The sequence below is a fragment of the Homo sapiens genome, chromosome 2 (assembly GCF_000001405.40).
Source record: "Homo sapiens chromosome 2, GRCh38.p14 Primary Assembly".
In the NCBI taxonomy this organism is placed as follows: domain Eukaryota; kingdom Metazoa; phylum Chordata; class Mammalia; order Primates; family Hominidae; genus Homo; species Homo sapiens.
This window is the reverse complement of record NC_000002.12, coordinates 40,690,502-40,716,116: the sequence shown is the minus strand read 5'-3', so window position 1 is coordinate 40,716,116 and position 25,615 is coordinate 40,690,502. Positions and strand designations below refer to the sequence as shown.

The 25,615-nt window shown below is 37.2% G+C and overlaps 1 long non-coding RNA gene across 5 annotated transcripts in view; it reads left to right on the top strand.

Annotated features, from left to right (window-relative positions):
- The window catches only part of LOC105374497 (uncharacterized), a 291,527-nt gene that overhangs the window by 254,151 nt on the left and 11,761 nt on the right, over positions 1–25,615 (top strand). For 3 of the 5 annotated variants that reach the window (XR_939994.2, XR_001739423.1, XR_001739422.1), the window contains 2 exons: positions 19,190–19,272; positions 19,999–20,283. This is a non-coding gene — a long non-coding RNA (uncharacterized LOC105374497). Of the gene's footprint in view, positions 1–19,189; positions 19,273–19,998; positions 20,284–25,615 lie in introns of those variants that run through there. The other 2 variants (XR_001739421.3, XR_939995.2) reach the window with 1 other exon arrangement.

The window sequence follows — 25,615 nt, the reverse complement described above, 5'->3', positions numbered from 1 at the left end:
CTCTGAAAGCTCCAGTGGTCCCCAGTTGCACTTGGGCAAAAGCCATTGTTTTCTTGATGACCCAAATCTCTAAACAATCTAACCCTCTCCCCCACTTTCCTCTCTGAATTCATTTCCTACTACTTTTCTTTTGGATCATTCCCTTTCAACCACACTGGTCTTCCTTCTTCCTTAATGAAAGTCAAAAGTGCTTCCACTTCCACTGCAGGGCAGTTGCCCTATCTGACCACTTTTCCTGGAATTCCTCTTCACGTGAGCGACTGCATGGCTTACTTTATCTTCTGCAGGTCCTTGTTCAAACATTAGCTTCTCATGAGCTATTCTCTGCTCCCTCTACCTAAAATTACACCACCATTATTGACTATACCCATTATTAAATTTTTCTCACTAACATTTTCTTATCTTAGCACTTATTATCATCTAACATACATTACTTGTTCATCTTGTTATTTCTCTATTCAAATTAGAACACAGCTCTATGATGAAACGTATTGTTTTTTGTTCCATTTTCAAAGTTGAATCCCAGCTACTAAAACAGTGCCTTATATAGCAGACATGCCGTAAATATCAGCTGGAATAAAGAATAAAGCCCACAATATGCTTTTGTTTCTGATTCTTTAAATAAACTTATTTAATCTTATTTTTGTTCAAACTCTAAAACATTATATACCTCACTCCAAAGTAGAATCCTCTTTCACCCATGTTAAGAGTATAAAAGGGTGAGGAGGTTAATGGTGAACAAAGAATTTTTAGACAGAGAGAGATGTTGGGTGCTGTGAGTTTTAATCCAAAGTGGAAGGAGGAGTGTCTGCTCCTCACCTCAAGATTAGGGAAGAATCATTTCATGAAACACACAGATAGTTTGTTGTACACAGTACAGTGGTCTAATTTATGGCTTGGAAACTTAAAGGTTAAGAGGCTGGTTAAGGCATACTTTCACCCCAGAGGGAAGTCCAAGTCTGATACCAGTAGTCCTAATATTGAGCTGAAGGTGAATATTCCAGAGGTGGACTCTATGCACAAAAGAAAAATCCAACTGGAAAATTCTTTTTTTTAATTTATTTTATTTTATTTTATTATTATTATACTTCAAGTTTTAGGGTGTGGGGGGAGGGGGGAGAGATAGCTTTAGGAGATATACCTTATGCTAAATGATGAGTTAATGGGTGCAGCACACCAGCATGGCACATGTATACATATGCAACTGGAAACTTCTTAAAGGAAATTTGTCCAAAGGAGTCAAATGGAACTCAACAGAAAGATAGGAAAGTGCACCCCTAAGCAGATAACCAATGGAGAATGCACCGTCTGCATCGAGGGAACTGCAGTAGTGAACTCTTCTAAGAACACAGGAAATTGTTGTAGAAGATAATGTCAGTTTTACATATTTTCAAAACTCAGAGCAGTATAATTATTCACAATAAGTATTAATTACAATAATAATGATTGTAATAAGTAATTACATCATTCACACTTAAGTGAGAACTTTTCCTGCCCATTTTCTTCTCTCATTTCCTCTCTCTTATTGACTCTGGAAGGGCCAGAAATCACTGTTGGGAAGATGCAGGAGAAGAGCTAAATTATAAACTAGGAAAGAGAAAACCTGCCACCTGCATTTCTTTCTAATCAGTGGTGGGATCAGGTTGTAACATAAAAGAAACAAGAATTAAGCAGGTTAAAGTTTGATTATTATACTCATGGATATACTAATTACATAAACTGCTGTTAATTCTTGAAAATAACACAAAAATCATGAAACTCTATTGAATTTTATCAGGGGGTGGAGGGTATTAACCCTATAGGATAAACTTAAGCAAGAATGGGAATTGAAAATTAAGTTGTTTATAATTACATCCCATGAAACATATTTGTTCAATGTTATCGTTACATTATGTGGTGAGAATCAAAACATTATGTACTTAGTAGAATTATTTGTATGTGAAATAGTTAGCTGTTTGGCATATGAAACATTGTCTCATTAAAATTTTTCATGTTGAGACTCAATTATCTTCCTATTAACATTTGCTCAAATTCTACGTGTCAAAAAATTGTCACTGCTACCTGACTCTTCCTTTGACCAAGGAGAATAAATACCCATGCTTCAAATATATTTCTCCAATAAAGGAGAAAAGCAATTGTACTCAATATGTAGGTAGGTTATAACAACCACTAATTGACTTTGGTGAGCTGGAGAAATCAACCCACCTGTTCAGATTACTCTATAAGAATGCCACCAAGCTCAACAGAACACTGGCTTTCAATGCTGTGGGATAAATTATAACATGCTAGCAACGCAGCTAAGATTACTAATGCCAATCTAAGTTTAATAATAGAAATATACTCTTCATATTAAGGGAACTAGAACTATAGTTTATTCTGCGTTGTTCAGATCACATAAAGAATATTGAATTTTATTGTCAGTCCTGTATTATTATAAAGAAGGTGCCAGTCTAAAATACACATACATGAAGTGATCTTAAAAAATTATGTAATTTAATGAACATTAAAGAATTGAAGAGTAGATTATATATAAAAATGAAAGTTGCCCTCATTTAAAAATATTTTATATAGAATAAAAAAGAATATAACAAAAAATTAAAATAACAAATCAAAGCAAAAAATACTAAACTTCAATAATTACCACAGACATACAAATTAAAATTATTCTCATCATATTGGGTAGAAATTTCACATCTAGAGCTCCCGGGCAACATGGCTGAATAGGAACAGCTCCAGTCTGCAGCTCCCAGCTGGACCAATGCAGACGGCCGGTGATTTCTGCATTTCCAACTGAGGTACCTGGTTTATCTCAATGGGACTGGTTAGACAGTGGGTGCAGCCCACGGAGGGTGAGCAGAAGCAGGATGGGGTGTTGCCTCATCTGGGAAGTGCAAGGGGTTGGGGAACTCCCTCCCCTAGCCAAGGGAAGCCGTGAGGGACTATGCTTTGAGGGACCGTACTATCCGGACCCAGATACTATGCTTTTTCCATGGTCCTCGCAACCCAGAGACCAGGAGATTTCCTCTGGTACCTACACTATAAGGGCCCTAGGTTTCTAGCACAAAACTGGGTGGCCGTTTGGGCAGACACTGAGCTAGCTGCAGGAGTTTATTTGTTTTTTGTTTTTTGTTTTTTCTACCCCAGCAGTCCCTGGAACACCAGAGAGACAAAACAATTCATTCCCCTGGAAAGGGTGGTGAAGCCAGGGAGCCAAGTGGTCTTCCTCAGCAGATCCCACCCCTACAGAGCCCAGCAAGCTAAGATCCACTGGCTTGAAATTCTTGCTGCCAGCACAGCAGTCTGAAGTCGACCTGGGACACTCGAGCTTGGTGAGAGGAGGGGCATCCACCATTACTGAAGCTTCAGTAGGCAGTTTTCCCCTCACAGTGTAAACAAAGCCTCCAGGAATTTTGGGCTGGGCAGAGCCCAACACAGCGTCACAAAGCCACTGTAACCAGACTGCCTCTTTAGATTCCTCCTCTCTGGGCAGGGCATCTCTGAAAGAAAGGCAGCAGCCCCGGTCAGGGGCTTATAGATAAAAGTCCCATCTCCCTGGGACAGAGCATCTGGAGCATCTGGGGCAGCTGTGGGCGCAGCTTCAGCAGACTTAAACGTTCCTGCCTGCTGGCGGATCTCCCAGTGGATCTGCCTGCTGGGGGATCTCCCAGCTGGAGCTCTGCTAAGGGACAGACTGCCTCCTCAAGTGGGTCCCTGACCCCCATGCCTCCTGATGGGGAGTCACCTCCCAACAGGGTTGACAGACACCTCATACAGGAGAGCTCCAGCTGGCATCTGGCAGATGCCCCTCTGGTACAAAGCTTCCAGAGGAGGGAGCAAGCAGCAGTCTTTGCTGTTTTGCAGCCTCCACTGGTGATGCCCAGGAAAACAGGGTCTGGAGTGGACCCCCAGCAAACTCCAGCAGACTTGCAGCAGAGGGGCCTGACTGTTAGAAGGAAAACTAACAAACAGAAAGCAATAGCATCTACATCAACAAAAAGGGTGACCACAGAAAAACTCCATCCAAAGGTCACCAACTGCAAAGAACAAAGGTAGATAAATCCATGAAGATGAGGAAAAACTAGCGCAAAAAGGCTGAAAATTCCTAAAACCAGAATGTATCTTCTCCTCCCAAGGATCATAACTCCTCACCAGCAAGGGAAAAAAACTGGATGGAGAATGAGTTTGATGAATTGACAGAAGTAGGCTTCAGAAGGGGGTTAATTCAAACTCCTCCAAGCTAAAGGAGCATGTTCTAACCCAATGCAAGGAAGCTAAGAACTTTGATAAAGGGTTAGAGGAATTGCTTACTAGAATAACCAGTTTAGAGAAGAACATAAATGACCCGATGGAGGTGAAAAACACAGCACGAGAACTTCATGAAGCATACCAAGTATCAATAGCTGAATTGATCAAGCAGAAGAAAGGTTATCAGAGATTGAAGATCACCTTAATGAAAGAAAGTGTGAAGATAAGATTAGAGAAAAAAGAATGAAAAGGAATGAACAAAGCCTCCAAGAAATATGGGACTATGTGAAAAGACCAAACCTATGTTTGATTGGTGTACCTGACACTGACAGGGAGAATGGAATCAAGTTGGAAAACACACTTCAGGATATTATCCAGAACTTCCCCAACCTAGCAAGACAGGGCAGCATTCAAATTCAGGAAATACAGAGAACACCACAGAGATACTCCTCGAGAAGAGCAACCCAAGACACATAATCATCAGATTCACCAAGGTCAAAATGAAGGAAAAAATGGTAAGGACAGCCAGAGAGAAAGGTCGAGTCACCACAAAGGGATGTCCATCAGACTAACAGGGGATCTCTCTGCAGAAACCCTACAAGCTAGAAGACAGTGTGGGCCAATATTCACATTCTTAAATAAAATAATTTTTAATCCAGAGTTTCATATCCAGCCAAACTAAGCTTCAACAGTGAAAGAGAAATAAACAAGCAAATGCTGAGGGATTTTTGTCACCACCAGGCCTGCCTTACAAGAGCTCCTGAAGGAAGCAGTAAATATGGAAAGGAAAAACTGGTACCAGCCACTGCAAAAACAAACCAAAATGTAAAGACCATTGACACTATGAAGAAACTGCATCAACTAATGGGCAAAATAACCAGCTAGCATCATAATGACAGGATCAAATTCACACATAACAATATTAACCTTAAATGTAAACAGGCTAAATGCCCTAATTAAAAGACACACACTGGCAAATTAGATAAAGAGTCAAGACCCATTGATAAAATCAACCACATAATTGGAAGTAAAACACCCCTCAGCAAATGCAAAAGAATGTAAATTGTCTCTCAGATCACAGTGCATTCAAATTAGAACTCAGGATTAAGAAACTCACTCAAAACTGCACAACTACGTGGAACATGAACAGCCTGCTCCTGAATGACTGCTGGTTAAATAACTAAATGAAGGCAGAACTAGTTCTTTGAAACCAATGAGAACAAAGCCACAATGTACCAGAATCTCTCGGACACAGCAACAGCAGTGTTTACAGGGCAATTTATAGCACTAAATGCCCATAGGAGAAAGCAGGAAAGATCTAAAATTGACACCCTAATATCACAATTAAAAGAACTAGAGAAGCAAGAGCAAACAAATTCAAGAGTTTGCAGAAGACAAGAAATAACTAAGATCAGAGCAGGACTCAAGGAGATAGAGACACAAAAAACCCTTCAAAAATCAATGATTCCAAGAGCTGGTTTTTTGAAAAGATTAACAAAATAGGTAGACAGCTAGACAGACTAATAAAGAAGAAAAGAGAGAAGAATTAAATAGACATAATAAAAAATGATAGGCTGGGTGCGGTGGCTCACACCTGTAACCCCAGCATTTTGGGAGGCCGAGGCAGGTGGATCACGAGGTCAGGAGATCGAGAGCATCCTGGCTAACATGGTGAAACCCCATCTCTACTAAAAAAAATACAAAAAATTAGCCAGGCATAGTGGCGGGCACCTGTATTCCCAGCTACTCGGGAGGCTGAGGCAGGAGAATGGCGTGAACCCAGGAGGCGGAGCTTGCAATGAGGCGAGATTGTGCCACTGCACTCCAGCCTGGACAACAGAGCGAGACTCCATCTCAAAAAAAAAAACAAACAAACAAACAAAAAAAACTAATAAAGAGGAGATTACCACTGATCCCACAGAAATACATGCTACCATCAGAGAATACTATGAACATCTCTACGCAAATAAATTAGAAAATCTGGAAGAAATTGTTAAGTTCCTGGACATATATACGCTCCCAAGACTAAACCAGGAAGAAGTTGAATCCCTGAATAGACAAATAACAAGTTCTGAAATTGAAGCAGTAATTAATAGCCTACCAACCAAAAAAAGCCCAGTACCAGATGGATTCACAGCCGAATTCTACCAGAGGTACAAAGAGGAGCTGGTACCATGCCTTCTGAACTATTCCAAGCTATACAAAAAGAGGGTGTCCCGCTAACTCATGTTATATATGAGGCCAACATCATCCTGATAGCAAAACCTGGCAGGCAGGGACATAACAAAAGAAAAGAAAATTTTAGGCCAATATCACTGATAAACATCAATGCGAAAATCCTCAATAAGATACTGGCAACCCGAATCCAGCAGCACATCAAAAAGCTTATCCACCATGATCAAGTGTGCTTCATGCGTGGGTTGCAAGGGTGATTCAACATATGTAAATCAATAAATGTAATCCATCACATAAACAGAACCAATGACAAAAACCACATGATTATCTCAATAGATGCAGGAAAGGCCTTCAAAAAAATACAACACCCCTTCATGCTGAAAACACTCAATAAACTAGGTATTGATTGAACATCTCTCGACATAATAAGAGCTATTTATGACAAACCCACAGCCAATATCATACTGAATGGGCAAAAGCTGGAAGCATTCCCTTTGAAAACTGGCACAAGACAAGGATGCCCTCTCTCACCACTCCTGTTTAACATAGTATTGGAAGTTCTGGCCAGAGCAATCAGGCAAGAGAAAGAAATAAAGTGTATTTAAATAGGAAGAGAAGAAGTCAAATTGTCTCTGTTTGCAGATTGTATATTTAGAAAACCCAATGGTCTCAGTCCAAAATCTCCTTAAGCTGATGAACAATTTCAGCAAATCTCAGAATATAAAATCAATGTGCAAATTCACAAGCATTCCTATACACCAAGAATAGACAAACAGCCAAATCATAAGCAAAAAAAATGCTACAAGGCTATGGTCACCAAAACATCATGGTACTGGTACCAAAACAGATATATAGACCAATGGAACAGAATAGAGGATTCAGAAATAACACCATACGTCTACAATCATTTGATCTTTGAGAAACCTGACAAAAACAAGAAATGGGGAAATGATTCCCTATTAAATAAATAGTTGGGAAAACTGGCTAGTCATATGCAGAAAACTGAAACTGGACACCTTCCTTACACCTTATACAAAAATTAACTCAAGATGGATTAAAGATTCAAATGTAAGACCTAAGCCATAGAAACCCTAGAAGAAAACCTAGGCAATAGCATTCAGGACAGACATGGGCAAAGACTTCATGACGAAAACACTAAAAGCAATGGCAACAAAAGCCAAAATTGACAAATAGGATCTAATTAAACTAAAAAGCTTCTGCACAGCAACAGAAAATACCATCAGTGAACAGGCGACCAACAGAATGGGAGAAATTTTTTTCAAACTATACATTTGACAAAGGGCTAGTAACCAGAATGTACAAGGAACATTAAAAAAATCACAAGAAAAAACAAACAACCCCATCAAAAATTGGACAAAAGATATGAACAGACACTTCTCAAAACAAGACATTTATGCAGCCAACAAACATATGAAAAAAAGCTCATCATCACTGGTCATTAGAGAAATCAAAATCAAAATCACAATGAGATACCATCTCATGCCAGTTAAATTGGCGTCATTAAAAAGTCAGGAAACAATAGACACTGGAGAGGATGTGGAGAAATCGGAACACTTTTACACTGTTGATGGCAGTGTAAATTAGTTCATCCATTATGGAAGACAGTGTGGCGATTCCTCAAGGATCTAGAACGAGAAATACCATTTGATCCAGCAATCCCATTACTGAGTATATACCCAAAGGATTATAAATCATTCTACTATAAAGACACATGCACACGTATGTTTATTGCAGCACTGTTCACAATAGCAAAGACTTGGAGCTGACCCAAATGCCAATCAATGTTAGCCTGGATAAAGAAAATATGGCACATATACACCATGCAATAATATGCAGCCATAAAAAATGAGTTCATGTCCTTTGCAGGGACACGGATGAAGCCGGAAACCGTCATTCTCAGCAACTAACACAGGAACAGAAAACCAGACACTGCATGTTCTCACTCTTAAGTGGGAGTTGAGCAATGAGAACATACGGGCTCAGGGAGGGGAAAATCACACACTGGGAGCTATTGCAGGGTGGGAGCCAAGGGGAGGGATAGCATTAGAAGAAATACCTAATATAGAAGACAAGTTGATGGGTGCAGCAAATCACCATGGCACATGTATACTTATGTAACAAACCTGCACGTTCTCTACATGTATCCCAGAATTTAAAGTATACATATACATATATATATGAAATATAACAAAATCCAGCAAAAATATTGTTACAGTAATAAGTAAATAAATAATTAAAAAATAAAATGCAAAACAAAAATAAATTTTACATCTAATAGTACAAATGTTGGAGAGAATGTGGAGCAAAAGGAATTTTCACGTGCTGGTGGTGGGAGTATAGTTTGGAATAATTATTTTGGATAATATTGTGATATTATCTAGTAAAATTTAGGATGCATATATCCTATGCCAGAGAAATCACACTACTGAGTATGTATCCTTCAGAAACAAATATATCGAAATGTTCAGAACACATGTATAAGCGTGTTCACTGGCTTTAGGGATGAATATACATGATAGTATATTAATACAACAGCATACTAAAAAGCACTCAAAATAAACAGTACTATGGTACTACAAGACAACATGCTCAGTCTTACAACTAGAGTGGAAAAAGCAAGACACAAAATAATACAAATGAAATACTTCCATTAAAATGAAGTTCAAAAAACAGGTAAAACGATTGCATAATTTAGGAAGGCATACATACGTGGGAAAATAAATATAAGGAAATACAAATCTATTTTTATTTAAAAAATAAGGAAATTCTTACATACCTCATCAGGATAATAATTACCTCTAGAGGAGATGGACTGAGTGGTATGAGAAAGAACATATGTGCATCTCTTGGCTTCTGACAGTGTTTTGTTTATTGATTTGTGTGATGGTTACATATATATCCACATTAGAATCACTCGGTACATTTTTCCATATAAGAGTTATAGTTAATAGTGAAAACACGTTAGGGCCATATAGACAAAGCACTGGTTATTTCAGATGTTAGAAAGAAACATGAGAGAGCTATACTTTGATATCATAGTAAGGGTCAGAAACAGTATGCATGGGTACAAGTTAACAGTGATGCAAAGTTCATGTCAATGAAATAATGTACTTTCTAATACCTAGAGCTATCCATACATGAAATGAACTGCTTCTGATCTTCTAACCTCCCTATCACACAAGACCTCCATAAAGTCCTATATGATTATCACTCAGAAGTACTATGGAAAGAATACATAATTTGAGTGCAAATTGAATTTTGTAAATTCCAATTTTTGCATTCTATAATCTTGTACAAGGTTTCTGTTTTTACCATGCTTGACTGACCTGATATAACTACTCCTAAAAATTCTCCTGCTTGTCACATGAATATGAATATAGAACGTTTGCTGGGGACATGTTCCGCCTTATTTGGGATTCAAAGTCTTAGCTTGTTAGTTTTTCACCTCTGCTCTAAGGGTTACAAATTAGTACATTTTAAAAAGGCGAACCCAGTGAATGTTGCTGTCTAGTGAGTGCTCCTTCTATCTGGAGAGCAGAGCATACAATTTTAATCAATCCTCTCCAAAAAGCTCAGCTGCAAAAATATGGGAAGAAATGTCATTGATCACCTTATCCCTCTGAAATAAAATACTTAAAGCATAAAGACTAGCTTTTTCTTCTTATTTGGTCAAATGACCTTTAAATGTAAACTTGAAGTAATATCCCTGTCATTTGTAGTTCCTGTAAAATACATGAAGCTAACCTGAAACATGTAACATTGGAAATTGATTCCTGCAATAAATAAACTTAAGTAGATGAAACAAATGAGAAAAAAAAATGAGAAGAAACATAAATTATGAGACATTGACAGGAATAAGGCAATGCTAAGAGAACAAGGAAAGTTTAATAAAGATAAATTTTGCTTGAGGTGCTTTGACTACTCAGTGAAAACTAAATACTGCATGAAACAATTTTTCTCTGTTGAGCTTCAAGAAAGAGAAGGTGGAATAAGTATTTGAATCACATTTTGGTTGTTTTGCCATATGTGGTGTGTTTAGAAAGCAGCAACAATTCTCCTTGAATAAATCTGTTCTCAGATGTAAAAATGATCGAATCTTCTCACTTGATAATACAGTTAGCATATCTCAATAGTTTGGGAAAATAAGCAAGAAAATAGATGCAAAGCCTGTGTATCAATCAGATGGATTAGGTTGTTGTACACTTAGAAACAACTTCAAAATCTTAATTCCCTAAATTAATAAGGTTTATATTTCACTCATGCCACACATCCATTTTATGTTGGCTGGGGCCTATGCTCCATCTTTCTTCACTTGCAATGGAACTCAGTTTAAGATCTCAAATATTATCACGCTCTGTGTCTAAGGGAAAGAAATATGTGAAGGTTACTGAATGGAGAATAAATGCCCTCGCCTGCAAGCTGTACAGGCTTTCTGCAAATAGCTCTGATTAGAACTGCTCACAAAGACCTACCTAACTACCAGGGGGTCAAAAATTGTAGTCTTCATGTGGCTATGAATTCCTTGTCAATCCTCTACTTGACAGATTGTTTCTATAGTCTCACCCCTTGAATTTAGGCAGGCTTAGTAACTAGTTTTACCAAGAGAATAAAAGAAAATGATCAGCACTAATTTCCAGGCATCACTTTTAAGAGACTGGCAACCTCCACTTTCTACTCTTGGAATGCTCACATCAGAGCAGTTGCTATGTAAGATTTGTGACTTCCCCAGTACTGCCATGGTATGAGAAAGTCGAATGGAGACACATGGGGAAGATGCATGGAGAGGGTTGCCTAGCCAGCAGACATAACATGGAAAACTGAACAGTACATCCAACAGCCTGATCCAAGGCCTCAGAGATGTGGCTCCAGTCAACTCATCATATCTGTAACTGAACACTGAAGCCACCACAAGTGAGGAGGCACCAGTTATCACAGAGCCAACATGAGCCGTCCCCACTGTACTGCCTCATGTATGACCCACATAATAGAAAATATAATGAAATTTTTGTTGGTTTACTCAACTAACTTTTAAGGTGGTTCTCTATGCAGCAATGGAAAACCAGAACCTGCATTATGAGCCGGGAAAGTGAGGAGCAGGAAATATTTTGTACGTGTATAACTAACACTGTCTCTTTCAAAACCGCAGCACTCCTTTATAAACAGTATTGATGGTTTTCTAAATGCTTTCTCCATCTGATTTATTCTTCAGACTCTTCTTTCTTCAGTGACTGATAAATTTCCTCCTTAGAGATTTTAATCTGGGGATTTTGATTGCACTATATACATTTCACCTAAAAATCCAAAACTCATCTGTCCCTAGAGCTCTAAGATTTCAGAAGAATTTAGGGCAGGGGGATAAACTCTTATGCACACATGGAACAGAACAGAAAATAGTAGAAAAGTTGGATTATAGAAATGAAGTGAAAATAGCCTGGATGCTAGAAAATGTATTGTTCTTCCTTCTATTTTCCCTCATAGGAGTCAAGAGGGACGTGAGAAACTCTTTGTGCTCTGAGTAGAACATCTTCCTGGCCTCTGTATCTCTGGGCAGAGAGAAACTCTGCAACTTGCTGGCAAAATAGTTACCCTTTCCTTTCCCACAGCACTTCCATCCTGGCCTCTACCCTGCATTTGGAGGATATCTGGACTAATCTCAGGTTATTGTTCATTACCTGTTGTCTATTTCTCATTTGTTTCTAAGCACACTGGAGAAAATACCCATCTGTGCCTGGTATGAGACTCCTTTTTTCTCTCCCCTCCCGTAGTACTTATCACTCATGACATATTGTATTTTAACTTATTTGACCATTTTTATTCTATAGCCTTCACCCTAGAATATATGCTTCATGCAGGCATAGACATGTGTCTGTTTTGTTACTGGCTGTACCTCTAAGACTTAGAACAGCGCCTGGAACAGATTACATTTCCATTAAATTTTGAAAAATGTGTGTTTCCATGGACAGATAAACAAATGCAAAGGAAAAATAGATGAAAGTTTTTAGCCTTATAGATATGACCCCAAAATTGTAGTCATTGGAATTGTCCTGTAGACAAGATATATTCAACTCTTTGATTTGATTTAATTCCATAATCCCAATGAAGTTTATATAATGTTGCATTTTTAAAAGTATACAACCAACAACCATGAGAAATGCTAAAAATAAGTAATACAGGACATGGAGACCCACTTTAGTGAGGCAGAAACTGTGTTGGTGACTAGAGAAAAGGGAATCACTTTTTAATTACTGTCTTGATATACTTATAGGTGACTTTTTCACTTATTTCCCTTTTGGTCCTCTGTTTACAATCCGAATTAATCATTCACCAAGTGCATGGTGGTAATCACCCTGTTAGTGACTACATTTCTTCCAAAGATGTTAAAAATTTGAGAGATCAGAGCCATTCACACACCTCATCATATTATCCTTTAAATAAAATGTTTTGTTCAAAGTATTAAATGTAGCAACATTAAAATCAAAACTCTGTAATAAAATGTAATACACGTAAAAGAAACAAAAAGGAAGAAATATCTATGTTTCCATGAAATGTTAACTAATAAAAATTATAAGACATGACAGGTAGGAAAAGTCATGTACATCCAGTAGAATTGTGGAAGACAACAAAATGGATAAAAGCCAGAGAAATTGTATCCCAATGAGAAAAAGATAAAAACATGATGACTTCAGAATCATTTTTTAAAACACCTTCTGTATAAGGGAGAACATTTAAAGAAAAATACAGTCCCAATTTGCACTAAATTAATGTAAATATTAATATTATATAAATTATACCTAGGAAATTTCATGAATTTCGGTTAGTGTAAAGGTAATGCAGGTCAATTCTTACATTTATACATGTATAGCTTACCTGGTACATTACATTGGCAGGACTTTTCTTTCTTTCTTTTTTTTTTTATTTCAATAGGTTTTTGGGAAACAGGTGATGTTTGGTTACATGAATAAATTCTTTAGTGGTGGTTTCTGAGATTTTGGTGCACCCAACACGTGAGCAGTGTACACTGTACCCAGTGTGTATTCTTTTATCCTTCACCCTGCTTCCGTCCTTTCCCCTGAGTCCCCATAGTCCATTGTATCATTCTTATGCCTTTGCATCCTCATAGCTTAGCTCCTAGAGAGTGGTAGGACTTTTTTACTCTTCAATTAAACCTCCTAGTTCTCAGATTTTTCTTCATCTATTTTTCTCCATGCATTTAAAGCAGAAAAGGTAACTTGTGTCAATTAGAGAACCGTTAGTGAAAATTCTATTTTTGATAATATAACAAAAGTTATTCACTCCTTAATTACTTTAACTTTTCTGACTCTTATGTGAACTAAAATTTAAAATGTTTTTACCAGAAAATTTTACATGTCCCTGGTGTAGACAGAAATCTCAGTCAAAGGCAGATGTTATTTCCTAAAGGGTCTGTATTATCTTGAAGAAGAGGTATTCAACAAATACCTAACTTCTATAGGCCAACAAAGTTTAAAAACAGACTTAATATCATTTTACCTACATGAGTTAATGCTTTATTTTCTAACTCAAATTGCTGAGAAGCACACATACACCAAGAATTGTTCTTTTCTTTTTTTAATAATTGTGGTTGCCTTGATGGTTTTGTCCTGAGCCAGCAATGCATTTGTGAGCCACTTGAGATGTAATCAGAGGCATATATTTGAAAGAATTTTCAGGCCTTGGTGTGCAGTAATAAATGTGAGAACAAATTCACTCAACCAAACAAATCTATCTGTTTATAAAAAATTGGTCTTCAGACTCGGCTTACTGATATTTCTAGTTTACTTCATTGATCCCACTATCTCTCTCTTATACAAAATTGTGTACCCTCTAAGGGATCATTCATGGGCTCCACATCCATTCCAGTTACTGCCCTATAGATCTGCTCCTCTTTACAGCAAAACAAATCAAAAGAAATGTTTCTATGAAGTCTTCAGTGCCTCTCCTCCATTTCTCTTGCACTCATTCCAGTCAATGTTTTGCCCTCACACTTGAAGGAGTCCCTGTTTCTAATTGCTCAGATTGCCAAAGCCAATGGTCAGTTCCCAGCTTTTACTCAGTCTATCAAAAGCATTTCATGCAGTTGGTCATGTCATCTTTCTTGATATACTTTCTTTGATTAGCTTTATCTGTCTGTTTCTGTCACACACAGACACTGTCTCTTTTTGTTTTCTTTTTTCTTTTAATTTTTTTAGATAGAACCTCTCTCTGTCACCCCGGCTGGAGTACAGTGACACAGTCTTGGCTCACTGCAACCTCTGCTTCCCAGGTTCAAGCAATCCTCCTGCCTCAGCCTCCCAAGTAGATGAGATTACAAGCACAGGCCACCACGCCCAGCTAATTTTTGTATTTTTAGTAGAAACGGGGTTTTACCATATTGGCCAGGTTGGTCTGGAACTCCTGATCTCGTTATCTGCCCACCTTGGCCTCCGAAAGTGTTAGGATTACAGGCTTGAGCCACATCGCCTGGCTGACACTGTCTCTTTTTCTCTCTCTCCTCCTCCTCCTTCTCCTCCTCCTCCTGCCTCCTGATTTTCTCAGTGTTACCGGTTTCTTCTTATCTACTCGTTTTTTAAACCAGAATGCCCCAGGGTTCAGACCAGAGACTGCTTCTCTCTCTTCTCTCTCCTTACTCTGTGGGTGTTCTTACATAGTCTTATACCTTTAAATTCCACATAGTAAAGACTCATTTCCAAATTTATAAACTTAAAACTTGTATGTCCAACTTTCTGTTCACACTGTCAATTGAATGACTAAAGGGCATCTCAAATTTAACATACCCCTAATTGCTCTCTTAATTTCCACCAACTAGCCCATTTTTCCTAAAAGATTTTCATCCCACAGTCTTTCCCATCTCAGGAAATGGTAACTCCATGCTGTCAGTAACGGTGACACACAGCATAACCTAGGAGTCATTACTGACTGACTCTTCTCTTAAGTGATTCTAATAAATCATTAAACCATAAGTGACCTATCTTTAAAACATATCTGTACCACTATTACCAGATCTCAAAGACCATTATCTCTCTCAGAAATATCGCTGAAACATCCTAGGCTGATAATTTGTTCCCACCATTGCCCTCCCAAAATCTATTCTCAAAACAGCAGCCACAGTACTCTTTTCAAAAACATATGTCTGATCATGTCACTCCTCTGTTAACTACACTACGATGATTTTTCCGTCTCAATTAGCTGTTACCATGACTACTGTGATCTAGATCTTTGCTATCTCTCCACACTTGCTTATCTCTTATGACTTTCCCCAACCTCACCCCACCCCAGCTCATTCTATACTCACCAGACTTGTTTTTCTTGAAAAATCCATGCATGCTCTTTCGTGAATATTTGCACTTTCTAATTATTCTTCCTGGAGAAGTCTTCCCACATATAACTGTATTGTCTGTTCTGTCATTTTATTAAGGTCTCTATACAAACATCGTGTTATCAAAGAATTTCCTTTTATTCCTTGCACCTCATCCCACCACAGCAAATATGTCCTATTCACAGTGGCTTACATTTTTCTTAGTCAACTGTACATATCACTATCTGAAAATTTGTATATTTTTTAATATATTTGTTTCTTTTTTACCATCCAGCTTATAAATAAGCTCCATAAAGGTAAGGACTTTGTTTTGATCAATGCGGTATTTATAGCTCTGAGGATAGAACTTGGCACTTCACACATTTCCTCAGCATATTAGGGGTTTATAATCTGAAGACAAAGTATATCCTGTGTGACTCAGAAAGGATCCTGAGGAGCTGCATCTGGAAGTTTCTTGGGACTCCAATGTTTGCCTGTGCTTTCTTTCTCTATGCTACCATAACCTTTACTTTTATTAAAGCCTTAAATGAACACCTGCAAACGTCTTGTATTTTCAAACATCCAAACCTGTGTAATTGATGCAAAAGAATATCATTAAAGTGAAAAGAGAAACCCAAGAAGAAAAATAATTGTAATGCATGTATCCAATAAAACACTCATATTCAGAATATATAAATTAGTAAAAAATAATAAGCAGACACTTCAGAAGAAAAATGGGCAATGGACTTGAACAGAGATTTCACATGATTGATTTTACAGCAGCTAACAGAATTATTAAAAAGGTAATCAACTTCATTAGCCATCAGGGGAAATTCAAAATAAAACCAAATTCAATACTATTTCCTACTCACCAAAATCACTTAAAGATTCAGCTAATATCAAATGTATATCAAGGATATGGAACAACCAGGATTTTCAGTCACTGCTGCTGAGAATAACATTGGTACAAGTGCTTTGAAAAACTTTTGTCAATTGCTACAAAAGTTGCATCTTTTCATATCCTATGACTTAGCAATTTCATTTCTATTCATAAGTGCAATAACCAGAGGAATAGAACACATGCATATAGCTCATGAAAAAAAAAATTAAATAGATGAAAAACAAGTTCCTTACAGCATTATTTATAATAGCTTAAACTTAAAATGTCTTGAAAATCCTTCAATAGTAGAATGAATAAATAAGGTTTTGCATGTTCATATACTAGAAAACTACACAGCAATGATAATTGCGAAAGTAAATACATTAAACAATTTGGATTAAGTCTGCCAAACGTAATATTTAGCAAAACATCAGACACAAAAGAGGACATTCTGTATGATTGAAGTTAGAAAATCTTTAAAAAGCAGAAAAACCTAATCTATGCTATTAGAAGTGAGGGTAAATGGAGCATCTGGTGAGCTGATATTTCTTTATTGATTTACATATTGGTTACATGAGTGTTTTAATGATGCAAAAATTCTTTCAGTTGTGTCCTTATGTGTAATTTTATGTGCTTATATTTCAATAAAAGTTAAGAATTAAATCATGAGTAAATACCCATATAATCCAACAATCCTTAAAACTATTATGTTTATTTTCAAAACAGCACATAGTATTAGTGGAACAAAATATGTTTAACTAATAACTACATGTTAGACATTGTTTAAAATTTGTTATTTTTATAAATGCCATTGATATCTCCATGTAGCCTTCAATGTGGAGCTCTCTGGTTATTTTATAAAATTCTAGAAGTGGAAATGTTTAATAAAAAGTTAAGAACAATTTTTCAAGTCTTGGTATAAAGTGACAACTTGCCCTCTAGAGAGTTGACACTATGAAAAATTATTCTAATATCTCTAGCTTATCTTCATACAATAAGATAAAACCAAAGGAGATGGAACAAATATGGAATTGCCTCCTGCTGCCTCCACAGTCCTGAAAGGTTTTTATTTCCTTTAAAATATATTGCCTTTGGCATGAGATTTTTCCATCAAGGGTTTATTCAAGGCAACCAGTGCATGAAAATTTCCACATTATAATTTTCTAAATAGTCTTTCATGAACAGTACCACAATATGTTTCCATTCAAGGCAAGGAAAAATGCCTGCTTTGTCCAAGCCCTACCAATTTTTATATCATACTTTTCTTTCATTAACCTGTGACTCCATGCATTTGATTGTTTTCCTGTTCCTATTCCATGACATTTTACCCTCATTTTCATGATTTTATTAGTTTTGTTAAAATTTTCTGTCAAACCTCATCTCACTCATACCTTAAGTCTTCATTCAAGGTCTGTCACTTTCACAAACATTATTCTAAGTCTTGCCAAATCTGAGCCTCTTCTTTGCTGAATATCCAGAGCACTTGGGCCTAGACTGCTCATTTTTCTTTTTGGAAGCAATGACTTACTAAATGCCATCTTAAATTTTCCCCATAGGAAACAAATATTATGCATAGGATTTTCTTCATTGCTAGAATGGGTGTTTTTTTGTAGACATAGCTGTGTTATTTATCTGTGTATTTCAAACTCTCAACTAGAGAATGACACATCATAGGTGCTAAATAATTGTTTTGTAAAAATTAATGGTTTTTTGAAGACTAAACTTCTCACATCAGCTACTCACACTAAAGTATTTTACAGTAAAATAACAGAAAAAAAGTGCACCTTGGTTGAAAATTAACTATGTAATTTTAAGATTTAGTTTGGGTTATACACAAAAGACACAGTCTGTATAGTAAATACTCTAACTTTTCAGTACCCAATATGGCAGCAATTAGCCAAAAGTACCTACTGAGGACTGAAAATGTGAGTAACCTGAATTGATGTGTGCTGTGAGTGCAAAATACACATCAGTGCTAAAGATTTTGAAGAAAAGATAATGTAAAATATCTCAGTAATAATTTTATATATATTTGACATTGAAATAATATTTTGGACATTGTGATAAAACATTATTAAAATTAGTTTTGCCTTGATTTTAATGTGCTTTTGCCTTTTTAATATGTCTACTAGAAAATTTAAAATTAAAACTGTACATTTCTATTGAATAACAGTTTCATAAGTCCTTTTAGGATATAATATCTATTATTAAAATATAAAGATATGTTAGAAAATGCATAAGCTAAATTTATCCCTATCGTCAAGCAGAAATTGGAATGATTCATATATAAAAGTAAAGCTTGCTGAAGTATATCACAGTGAACCAGAGAGTTAAGATGTGAAAAAATATCACGCTAAAGTTTATGGAGGCTTAGACATTAATGTTCTAAAGACATTCTGAATATTTATGTTTGTTCTTCCTGAGATATTTGAAGTAAATAATTCCAAATTATTTTTCCTTCTCTAAAAGTGTCTGATACTTCTACAAAAAATTGTGGAAGGCGTCTGTTTGTATGTCTGAAATCAACAAGGATTGTTTTGTGTTTATTTGCTTAGGAAAAGAAATTGGAGAGATTCGCCTTGAAAATAAGCCTTCATATTAGTGACTTCCTTCTTTTAAAGGACATCGAACAAGTTTTGTGAGTCCCTTAATTTTTTACACAAGTATTTACTATTCTATTATATTATAATCTTCATTATTCTATATTTCTTTTCTTCATACTACTTGCATTCTTCACATTTCAGTTTGTCACATGTATAGAAAGAAAAATGAATTTTTATAAAAAGCAACAGTGTGTGTATGTGTGTGTGTCTGTCTGTCTGTGTGTGTGTGTGTGTGTGTGTGTGTGTGAGAGAGAGAGAGAGAGAGAGAGAGCAGAGAGAGAAGAGAGAGAAGCCCACATTCCTAGTTATTGACCTATCATATTTGTTGACACTGCCTCTAATCTTCCCTATCAGTGCCAATTCATAAAATTTTGGTTACCCCTTCACTTTCTCACTAAGTTCACCAATGACTTAAAATTTTTTTTCAGGATTCTCTTTATTTTTTAGGTATAAATAACAGTTTCCTTTATTCTGTGCATTATACGTAACCATTATTTTGCTTAGTGTTTTCTTTTTAACTTTTATTTTAAGTTCAAGGATACAAGTATAGATTTGTTACATAGGTAAATTTGTGTTATTGGGGGTTAACAGAGACAAGGTCTTGCTCTGTCACCCACATTGGAGTGCAGTGGTATGCTCATAGCTCAGTGCAGCCTTGAACTCCTGGGTCAAGTCATCCTCCCCTTTTAGTAAACAAAGTAACTAGAACTGCAGGTGTGTGCCACCACACTGGGCTAATTAATTTAATTTAATTTTTTTAGAGATGGGATCTCTCTATGTTGTCCAGGCTGGTCTCAAATTCTTGGGCTCAAGAGATCCTCGTGCCTCAGCCTCCCAAAGTGCTGAGATGGTTATACCAGGTGAGATGTGAGTCACCAAACCCAGCCACCAATGACTTTTAAATTGTAGACTTCAAAATAATTGTTCATCAACTTTGGTCATTTATAACAAGTACACACTTATTTCTTGAAATTCTCTCCACTGTTCACAACAGCAAAGACTTGGAACCAACCCAAATACCCATCAATGATAGACTGGATAAAGAAAATGTGGCACATATACACCATGGAATACTATGCAGCCATAAAAAAGGATGAGTTCGTGTCCTTTGCAGGGACATGGATGATTGAAGCTGGAAACCATCATTCTCAGCAAATACAAGAACAGAAATCCAAACATAACATGTTCTCACTCATAAGTGGGAGTTGAATAATGAGAACACGTGGACACAGGGAGCGGAACAGCATACACCGGGGCCTCTTGTGGGGTGGGAGGTGGGACAAGGGATAGCATTTGGAGAAATACCTAATGTAGATGACAGGTTGAGGGTTGCACCAAACCACTATGGCACATGTATACCTATGTAACAAACCTGCATGTTCTGTACATGTACCCCAGAACTTAAAGTATATTAAAAAAAATTCATACTCACAAAAACATAATTCCCTTCTCATAATTTCTTCTTGATCTTCTTAATGAGATCCAAGTGTTAAATATGTGTTGATAATTTTCAAATCAATGTCTTTGAACATCCTTCTCTCCTGAGATTCAGACGGATGAGTACAACTAACAGCCCAGGTGAAGTGGATCCTCATTTAGAAATGGGCATGCTTAAGTCTGAACTCATCTTTTTTCTGACAATACCTTCCATCCAATTTCCCAAATCAGATGCCGGCAAGCAATTGTATACTCCACCCTCTTTGCTACTTACTTACATAAATGCTGTTTCTAAGTCCTGTCATCTGATAATTATAGTTTTTAAATATTTTAAATACTTATTTACTACTCCTATTCATTTCCAATGCTGTCCTAGTAAGGCCCTCATTATCTCCCTCTTATACTAGTGCCATAACTTTCCTATTGAATCTATCATTCTGTCCCCAATACATCTTCTGTTCTTCTTCCAGCATTAATCTTTACAGTATGAAAATCCAATCACGCTTTGCTCTCATTAAATTTCTTTAATACTTTGCCATCATCTAGAACAGTATTTCTCAAAATGGTGCAGAACATTATCAGAAACACTAGAGTAGAAATACTGGGGATAGATGTGTAATCTTGTTTTTTAAAATTCCCCACGTATAATTCATAACACAGAATAGTTTGAGAAACACTCTCATAGGAGAGAAGCAGTTTATCCATTTGCAAAGCATACATTGTCATTTGTTATTTGATTGAAGTTTATTTTTCTGTGGCCTCTTCCCATTATTTGTTCCAGTACTATTGAACTGATTTGTAATCCTCTGAAGGTACTATTTTCTCTCATAAATTTATTCCATTGTACAAACTGATCCTTCAGCTTGAAATTCCTTTTCTTCTTTATTTCCTGGCAATTTTTTTTATTATACTTTAAGTTTTAGGGTACATGTGCACAACGTGCAGGTTTGTTACATATGTGCCATCTTGGTGTGCTGCACCCATTAACTCATCATTTACATTAGGTATATCTCCTAATTCTATCCCTCCCCTCTCCCCCGACCCCACAACAGGCTCTGGTGTGTGATGTTCCCCTTCCTGTGTCCATGTGTTCTCATTGTTCAATTCCCACCTATGAGTGAGACCATGCAGTGTTTGGCTTTTTGTCCTTGCGATAGTTTGCTGAGAATGATGGTTTCCAGTTTCATCCATGTCCCTATAAAGGACATGAACTCATCATTTTTTATGGCTGCATAGTATTCCATGGTGTATATGTGCCACATTTTCTTAATACAGTCTATCCTTGTTGGACATTTGGGTTCGTTCCAAGTCTTTACTATTGTGAATAGTGCCACAATAAACATACATGTGCATGTGTCTTTATAGCAGCATGATTTATAATCCTTTGGGTATATACCCAGTAATGGGATGGCTGGGTCAAATGGTATTTCTAGTTCTAGATCCCTGAGGAATCACCACACTGACTTCCACAATGGTTGAACTAGTTTACAGTCCCACCAACAGTGTAAAAGTGTTCCTATTTCTCCACATCCTCTCCAGCACCTGCTGTTTCCTGACTGTTTACTGATCCCCATTCTAACTGGTGTGAGATGGTATCTCATTGTGGTTTTGATTTGCATTTCTCTGATGGCTAGTGATGATGAGCATTTTTTCATGTGTCTTTTGGCTGCACAAATATCTTCTTTTGAGAAGTGTCTGTTCTTGTCCTTCGCCCACTTTTTGATGGGGTTGTTTGTTTTTTTCTTGTAAATTTGTTTGAGTTGTTTGTAGATTCTGGATATTAGCCCATTGTCAGACTGGTAGATTGCAAAAATTTTCTCCCATTGTGTAGGTTGCCTGTTCACTCCGATGGTAGTTTCTTTTGCTGTGCAGAAGCTCTTTAGTTTAATTAGATCTCATTTGTCTATTTTGGGTTTTGTTGCCATTGCTTTCAATGTTTTAGTCATGAAGTCCTTGCCCATGCCTATGTCCTGAGTATTGCCTAGGTTTTCTTCTAGGGTTTTTATGGTTTTAGGTCTAACATTTAAGTCTTTAATCCATCTTAGATTAGTTTTTGTATAAGGTGTGAGGAAGGGATCCAGTTTCAGCTTTCTACATATGGCTAGCCAGTTCTCCCAGCACCATTTATTAAATAGGGATTCCTTTCCCCATTTCTCGTTTTTGTCAGGTTTGTCAAAGATCAGATAGTTGTAGATATGCGGCATTATTTCTGAGGGCTCTGTTCTTTTCCATTGGTCTATATCTCTGTTTTGGTACCAGTATCATGGTGTTTTGGTTACTGCAGCCTTGTAGTATAGTTTGAAGTCAGGTAGCGTGATGCCTCCAGCTTTGTTCTTTTGGCTTAGGATTGACTTGGCAATGCAGGCTCTTTTTTGGTTCCGTATGAACTTTAAAGTAGTTTTTTTCCAATTCTGTGAAGAAAGTCATTGGTAGCTTGATGGGGATGGCATTGAATCTATAAATTACCTTGGGCAGTATGACTATTTTCATGATATTGATTCTTTCTACACATGAGCATGGAATGTTCTTCCATTTGTTTGTATCCTCTTTTGTTTCGTTGAGCAGTGGTTTGTAGTTCTCCTTGAAGAGGTCCTTCACATCCCTTGTAAGTTGGATTCCTAGGTATTTTATTCTCTTTGAAGCAATTGTGAATGGGAGTTCACTCATGATTTGGCTCTCTGTTTGTCTGTTATTGGTGTATAAGAATGCTTGTGATTTTTGCACATTGATTTTGTATCCTGAGACTTTGCTGAAGTTGCTTATCAGCTTAAGGAGATTTTGGGCTGAGATGATGGGGTTTTCTAGATATACAATCATGTCATCTGCAAACAGGGACAATTTGACTTCCTCTTTTCCTAATTGAATACCCTTTATTTCCTTCTCCTGCCTGATTGCCCTGGCCAGAACTTCCAACACTATGTTGAATAAGAGTGGTGAGAGAGGGCATCCCTGTCTTGTGCCAGTTTTCAAAAGGAATGCTTCCAGTTTTTGTCCATTCAGTATGATATTGGCTGTGGGTTTGTCCTAGATAGCTCTTATTATTTTGAGATACGTCCCATCAATCCCTAATTTATTGAGAGTTTTTAGCATGAGGGGTTGTTGAATTTTGTCAAAGGCCTTTTCTGCATCTATTGAGAGAATCATGTGGTTTTTGTCGTGGGTTCTGTTTACATGCTGGATTGCATTTATTGATTTGCGTATATTGAACCAGCCTTGCATCCCAGGGATGAAGCCCACTTGATCATGGTGGATAAGCTTTTTGACGTGCTGCTGGATTCAGTTTGCCAGTATTTTATTGAGGATTTTTGCATCGACGTTCATCAGGGATATTGGTCTAAAATTCTCTTTTTTTGTTGTCTCTCTGTCCTGGCAATTTTCCTTCAGCTTTCAAGTACAACTATTTGGTGTCAGGGAATTATTATGAATGTCTGTGTCCTCAGTGTCTAGCAAGCATCAAGCATCCAGCACAGTGCCTAGCACAAAGGCTACCCAAATTCACCACCTAACATGTGGAGACACAACCATGTCACTTGATTTATGTCCTCACTTTCTTATTTATGTTTGTTGTGAGTCTCTTTTCCTCCTTTCCATTAACTAGTGTTAACTCACTGAGTGCAGGGGTTTTGTTTTCTGCTACATTGCCTTTATGCTGAACAGTAGCTGACACATAAAAAGTTGTCTGACTTTCTCAACTGAGAACTTAATGTTAGAAATAAGTAGATTTTTTTAAACCCCTGTTTTCCATGATGTATGAGAAAACAACAAACTCTGGAGAAAGAACACCTGGATTCTGGTGAACTATGTTCTAGGCCCAGATATTTTTTGTTTTGTTTATTTTATTTATTTTCTTTTCTTTATTTTTTATGAGACAGAGTTTTACTCTTGTCACCCAGGCTGGAGTGCAGTGGCATGATCTCAGCTCACTGCAACCTCCAACTCCCAGTATTCTCCTGCTTCAGCCTGCCAAGTGAGTAGCTGGGATTACAGGGATGTGCCACCATACCTGGTAATTTTTTTTTTTTTTTTTTTTTTTAGTGGAAACTGGGTTTCACCATGTTGGCCAGGCTAGTCTCGAATTCCTGACCTCAGGTGATCTGCCCACCTCAGCCTCCTAAACTGCTGGGATTACAGGCTTGAGCCACCGAGGTGGGCCTAGTTTTACTTTAAATCAGCAATGTGAGCTCAACTCTTAATGACTCTATGAGGTTTCTCAGGAGGTAAACTAGAGGCTTTGGGTGGTTAAATGGCTTTTAACTCTGGCTGGACTTTATAATCCTATATGGGTTAAAATTCACTAACCCAATCTAGATGCGAGGCCTCAGCTCAGTAGGTCTGAAGTCCTCCCAGGTGATTTCCATAAGCAGCCAGATTGAGATCGCCTGTAGCAGAGGGGGGTTATTATGTGCCTTCGCTGTGACCTTCTGAATTTTCATGTGCAAAGAATGACGTTTATTAAGCTTTTTATCCACATGTGGAACAGCTAAGTGTTTTTCATATGACATTATTCTTTCTGGTTAAAAAAATGTCTTTTTGCTTTTGCTTTAACCAAAAATCAGATTGGAGGCATTTGAAGCTGGCAAAATATCACATCATTCACTTCTGGGAAGGGAAACAAAAGCAATGAGGTGAACTACACCGAATGCATTTTGTTTTGCTTTCTCTAAACACACATTTCTCTGCCTTTTACTATGCTGAGAACAGCATGTTCCTGGACCCCTTTCAGAATCTCTGTTCTTCTACCTTTCACTGGGCCAATGAGTTCCATTGACATGGTATTTATGAGATATCCAGAGAGGAGACAAACGGGCCTGACTCATTTGGACACCAAGAAAGCTAGTCGATATTTGTCTCTAACTTTGGCTCTGTACCCACAGACTAAGACTGTGAGCTAAAACAAGGGGAAAAGGAGAAACAATGCAAGAGGCATTGAAAAGAAAACAT